The sequence below is a fragment of the Homo sapiens genome, chromosome 16 (genome assembly GCF_000001405.40).
Source record: "Homo sapiens chromosome 16, GRCh38.p14 Primary Assembly".
NCBI lineage: Eukaryota > Metazoa > Chordata > Mammalia > Primates > Hominidae > Homo > Homo sapiens.
The window spans coordinates 71,538,878-71,545,640 of record NC_000016.10 but is presented as its reverse complement, the minus strand read 5'-3'; positions in this window follow the sequence as shown (position 1 = coordinate 71,545,640).

The following is a 6,763-nucleotide window of genomic DNA, read 5'->3' as shown; positions in this document are numbered from 1 at the left end:
GTCTCCTGAGTAGCTGGGATTACAGATGCCTGCCACCATGCCCAGCTAATTTTTGTATTTTTAGTAGAGTTGGAGTTTCATCATGTTGGCCAGGCTGGTCTTGAACTCCTGACCTCAAGTGATCCACCCATTTCAGCCTCCCAAAGTGCTGAGATTACAGGTATGAGCCACTGTGCTGGCCTGTACCTCGTTCTTCATGAAGAGCAGCATCATGTGCTTACTGCATGTGTTTTAATGAAATGTACGTTTCTGTCATTAAAACACAAACAATAAACTAGCCTCCTTATTGCCCTTTTAGGTCCATAAGAAGCCCGCTTGAAAACTGGTCATGGGGTGGGCACAGTGGCTCAAGCTTGTAATCCCAGCACTTTGGAGGGCTGAAGCAGGAGGATCACTTGAGCTCAGGAGTTCGAGACCAGCCTGGGCAACATAGGGAGACTCCCCCATCTCTACAAAAAAGTAAAAAAAAAAAAAGAAAACTAGCCAGGAAAGCAGGGCCAATGCCCATCCCACACGGTTAGGTTGAGGGTTGGGGATGGGGAGAGGACACTAGTCGTAGTTACTTGTATTGTTATTATTATTTTTTTTATTATTGAGAGAGAGTCGCCTGCTGTCACCCAGGCTGGAGTGCAGTGGTGCGATCTCAGCTCACTGCAAACTCTGCTTCCCAGTTTCAAGCGATTCTCCTGCCTCAGCCTCCCGAATAGCTGGGATTACAGGTGCCTGCCACCATGCCCGGCTAATTTTTGTATTTTTAGTATAGACGGAATTTCACCATGTTGGCCAGGCTGGTCTCTGATCTTAAGTGTTTCACCCGTCTCAGCCTCCCAAAGTGCTGGGATTACAGGCGTGAGTCACCATACCTGGCCACTTGTATTATTTTTTTACTACTACAACTAACTGACATTGTCATAGGTCTTTACAGTTTGAAAATTGCTCTCCTATGTGTGATTTGCTTAATCACAATTAATTATTGTTGAGCAAGGAACATAGTTGGGGGTTTGACAGATGAAAAGATATGTCGAGAAAAAAAGAGAGGGGCTGGGGAAGGAGCTGAAAAAATTAGGGACAGTGGATTAAATCATACATTCTCAAGGGAAGTGACCATGGAGTGGTAAAAGTTGGTTCTTGGGCAGGGGGCAAGAACCCTTAGATATTACAATGGTTTGTAGTCCTTCAAAGGGCTACAATACATAAACAAATCGACAGTATATTTGTTTTGTTTTGTTTTGTATTGAGACAGGGTCTCACTCTGTTGCCCAGGCTGGAATGCAGTGACACAATCACGGATCACTGCAGCCTCGACCTCCCAGGCTCAAGAGATCCTCCCTCCTCGGTCTCCTGAGTAGCTGGGACTACAGTGTGCACTAACACTGCTAGCTAATTTTTGTATTTTTTTTGTAGAGACAGGGTTTCACCATGTTGCCCAGGCTGGTCTTGAACTCCTGAGCTCAAGCGACCCACCTGCCTCAGCCTTCCAAAGTGCTGGGATTATAGGCGTGAGCCAAAGCTGGGCCCAACAGTATATTTGTGATATTAAAATTTTGTATGGGGGTGGCGATTAGGTGGCGATTAGGAAAACAATGTCTACAAGGCTCGCTGGAGTAGTGGTTGGGGATGATAATGAGGAAAAAAAATAAAAAAAGGTTGAGAAACACTGATCTCAATCTTGCAGTGCCTACAGAGCTTTTTGGCATTCGTGAATGGTGTCTCTGTTTCCAGTCACACATGTTTGTCCAGCACATTTGCTTCAGGCTTCATTCATCCTGCCCGTTTTACCCGAGGCCCTAAATGATCATGTTTTGCCTCTTTAAACCCTTTCCTCTTCTGGCCACAGGTGCCTGAATTAGGGTGGACATGAGCCATGACTAGTTAAGGCACAGCGAGTGACTGGTCCCAGGAAGGCTGGCTGCACCTCACTTCCTCTCCTGAGTCTTTTCTTGGTTCACCTCGTGTGACGCAGCTCTGTAGTTTTGTAACAGCTACTCTACCAACTATCCTTTTGAGATGGTTACTAATGGAGTGGGTATCAAAAAGCCCTGGTTATATCTCCCCAGTCAGGACATTTGGGCTGGTGGCACATGCGTTTGAATGAGGTTGGATGAGATGAAAGGGAAATCCATTTGAGTCATCAGCTCTTTATCCTTATCCCTGGTTGGTGTAGAGTGGGGGTTTTCAACAGCTGCACGATTGACATTTTGGACCAAATAATTCTTTGTTATAGGAAACTGTCCTGTGCTTTGTAGGATGTTATTTAACAGCATCCCAGGCCCCTACATGGTAGATGCCAGTAACACTGAATCCCCCGCTCTCCAGTTGTGACAATCAAAAATGTCTACAGATAAATAGATAAAATTATTGTCAATTAAAAATAAAATATAGTTGGGCATGGTGGCTCACACCTGTAATCCCAGCACTTTGGGAGAGTGAGGAGGGTGGATCGCTTGAGGACAGGAGTTCGAGACCAGCCTGGCCAATATGGTGAGACCCCGTCTCTACTAAAAATACAAAAACTAGCCAGGCATGGTGGTGCGCACCTGTAGTCCCAGCAACTCAGGAGGCTGAGGCAGGGGAATTGCTTGAACCTGAGAGGCGGAGGTTGCAGTGAGGTGAGATCACATCACTGCATTCCAGCCTGGGTGACAGAGTGAGACTCCATCTCAAAAATAAATAATAATAATAATAATAATAATAATAATAATAATAATAATAATACTAAAATAAAAAAAGTCTCCAGACATTGTCAAGTGTTCCCTGTGGGACAAAATTGCCTCCAGTTGAGAACCACTCATGTAGAGAACCTAGAAGATCAGGAAGTATAAATCTCATCATTTCAGCATGATCAGAAATGCCATAGAAGGGTTCAGATCAGAAATGGGAGAAAAGCATTGTAATCATGATATTCACAGCTAATGCTGAGTGAGTGCTCGCTAAGGACGTTCCACACACTGACTCATTAGCCCTTCCAGTAACTCCAAGGAGTCGTCCTGCTGTTTCCACCCACTCTATACTTGAGGGATTTAAGACATGGGGATGTTGAGGAACTTGCCTGAGGTCACGTAGCTGGTAATAGTGGAGTCACCCAGGCAGCCCGGTTCCAGTGCCCCAGCGCTCGGGAGTGCATAACCTCTCTGTCTTACCGTCACGGTTCTACTTCCTTATCCTCCAGGGGGCGCACGCAGCACAGTACCAAGCACACAATAGGTTCTCATTAGACTCATTGATTCTGTCCATACTGACATTGGCATCTACTGGGGCACTCTGCCCCTAGATCTCTGCATGGCAACCTCCTTTACTTGGAGGTGGTCTCTGCTGCAATCCCACGTTCTCTGCGAAGAAGTCTCCTATTGCCTCTGTAGAATAGCACCCTCCTTCACTGCCAAGCCCCTTCCCCTTATTTTTCTTTATAGTACTTAGCATCTGACATATATTTTTTGTTCTCTTGCCCCCAACAGACTAAAATGTCTGTTGTATGAAAGGAGAGGCTTTGCCTGTTGTGTTTGCTGCTGTATCCACAGCACCTAGAACATTCCTAGGCATATAGTAGATGCCCATTAAGTGTGTGGAAAAAATGAATACATCCCTTAGCCAAGTGCTATATTCAAATTTCCTTACTCTGGTTATTGGTTACTACTTTTCCTCATCACTGCATTGAAAAAAACAAAACAAAACAAAAAACACAAAAAAACCTTTCTCTGAATGACCAGGCACCTTTATCCAGAAGTGGGGCATAACCCTTGACACAAGGGGCAATGGATTGGGGATCCTCGACTAATGCCTGTCAGAGGTTTATTGTTAACTGGACTAGGTCACTTACAGAGTTTATTTTTAATTTTGCTTTGTCAGTCTGTGAAAGTAATTCAACAGTGTCATGATAATGTACATAGTTAATGAAGTTAATTTATATTTAGCTTGGGTCTAAATCACATAATAAATTATAAATGATATTTTGAGAAACATATTATGGACAATTCAATGGCAGATTTTTGCATAAAAATTAACAGAAGTTGATTCTATCTTTCTCCATAACCACTATTCATAAGTTGAAAAAATGTAGTTTTAATGAAAATGTATTAAAAACTTAGCAACTGCTCTCATTCTATAGAAAATGAAGCCACGGCTGGGCACAGTGGCTCATGCCTGTAATCCCAGCATTTTGGGAGGACAAGGCAGGCAGATCACCTGAGGTCAGGAGTTCAAGACCAGTCTGACCAACATGGCGAAAGCCCGTCTGTACTAAAACATACAAAAATTAGCCGGGCGTAGTGGCAGACGCGTGTAATCTCAGCTACTCGAGAGGCTGAGGCAGGGGGAATTGCTTGAGCCCAGGAGGCAGAAGTTGCAGTGAGCAGAGATCGTGCCACAGGACTCTAGTCTGGGTGACAGAGTGAGAACGCATCTCAACAAACAAACAAACAAACAAACAAAAAAACAAATAAAATGGAGCCACATAGTAACTATAGATAGAAAAGTAGTTAAGTTACTGTTGGCACCCTTTTGCCTCAAACACATTCCCTTCTCACCATCCAGATAATTATTTATAAAGTTTGAGACCTCCACCCCCCGACTCCCAGTTGCAAACATAGGACTTGGAGCAGTTGCCTAGTTTGGCATTTTGTAAAGAAATCTATTGCTGTATTGCAATTAGGCAATTCAGGCTGTTATGGTTACATTAGACTTGAGAGAAGCTCATTCCCTAAACCCTAAAAATCAGCTTTGAGAAATATGATCAATTCACCCCTAATCTAGGTTTAAACTCATGCACAGACCCTATGCAGCTAGACAGGCTAAGGTGGAAAGAAACACCTTTCTGTTGCTGGGGGTTGGGGATGGAACAGATGCCTCTGAATTAGGAAGGATGTCTTGCAGAACACCATCCTCTATGCTTGTCACCAGTTCTCATGTCCCCAAATGCCTCATATCTCAATTGAGTGTTGCCATTCTCACCACTGAATCCCAGCTCCAGCCTCCTGAACACTTCAACAAGAGACTGTGCCATTGTTCACTGCAGCCTTGTTCAACACTGGGTCAGGCTTTTAAGATTATATAGCATTTTTTTTTTTTTTAAGACAGAGTCTTGCTCTGTCACCCAGGCTGGAGTGCAGAGGCACTGTCTCGGCTCACTGCAACCTCTGCCTCCCGGGTTGAAGCAATTCTCCTGCCTCTGCCTTCCGAGTAGCTGGGATTACAGGTGTGCACCACCACACCCGGCTAATTTTTGTATTTTTAGTAGAGACATGGCTTGTCCATGTTGGCCAGGCTGGTCTCAGATTCCTGACTTCAAGTGATCTGCCCACCTTGGCCTCCCAAAGTGCTGGGATTACAGGCATGAGCCACCACACCCAGCCTATATAGCATGATTTTATATTATGCACTCTATGCTATATAAAAATGCCATGATATTATATATTCTTTAAACTTTTTGGCCTAGGAGGATGGGGCTGAATTAGGGATTAGATGATACACATATAAAAATGAATTTAGACCAGAATTGTCCAATCAAACTTTTGCAATGGTGGACATTATATCTATGCTGTCCAATACAGTAGCCACTAGCCTCACGCAGCTATTGGGTCCTTGAAATGTGGCTAGTGTGACTGAGGAGCTAAAAATTTATTAAATTTTAATTAACTTAAATCTAAACAACTACTGGTGGCTAGTGGCTACTCTATCAGAGAGCACAGATATTTTCTTCAAGGGTGTGGCTCTTAGATTCTGGACCTCATTGGATATCTCAGACTTGGAATGCAGGAAATTTAAAGCTGTTCTAAAGTGGATCTTGAATAAGACTCTGAGACTTCTGTGTGGCTAGTCTCTTTTCTTGTATCAGGATGGGGTGATTTTTTTGGAGAAGGACAAGCAGGCATCACACAGGGATGGCTCATAAAGAGGTTGCTAACTTTAAAACAATCCAGACAGACACTGGACTTTCAGAAGGGAAATCAGAGGTGGTTGAGTCTACCACTGTCTGTTCCCTCAATGGCCCTCTTCACTCTGTTCACACTGTCATCTGCTGTTCTGGTCTTATTTTCAATGCTGGGAAATTTTACTCTGACACTGTTTAGGAGGTAAACATTTGCCTTGTAGAGGCAAGCATTTGCCTGGGAGATCCTAGGCTCTTAGGAGTTTTTAAAGATTTGGACATTAGAATAAATTAGCTTCTTTGAAGCCAAATATAAATTAACTTCAACAGACCGAGCTAGGAAAAGTAGCTACTCAAGTATCTCAGGCAGTGGAGAAGCTCAATCACTACTCGGCCGAATGGAGTGCGAGAGTTCTGACCTGACATCCAGGAAGCTTTATGAAGCTCGTCAAAAGGTGGAAACAAAAAGAAAGAGAAAATGACACAATCTCTCAGACTTGGACAAAGTGAAACATTTAAAAGTCAGGACTCAGAGGTCCATGGAATTCCAGACATATAGGGAGCTTCTTTCTATTCTTTCCAACCCAAGGACAGCACCAGTGGCAAGAGCAAGTGGCATACATACTCTGCATTTGTGGAAGAATCACCTTTCTTAGAGCAAGAAGGCGAACAGTGTTGCTGCCTGGTGCAAGGTGCGCTAGTGCCAGGCTAGCCATGGAAGAGTCACCAGAACTCCAGCCCCCATACTGGGGGATTCTGATTCTAGCAGATTTGTGGTAGTGCCTGGCAATCTGCATTTTTTAACAGGTGAAATTCTATTGTAAAACTAGATCTGGGGGCTCCTGCCGAGATCGGGAGTAACAACTTTTCTTATTAGGAGAAGTGGCCAGGAGGAGCTAA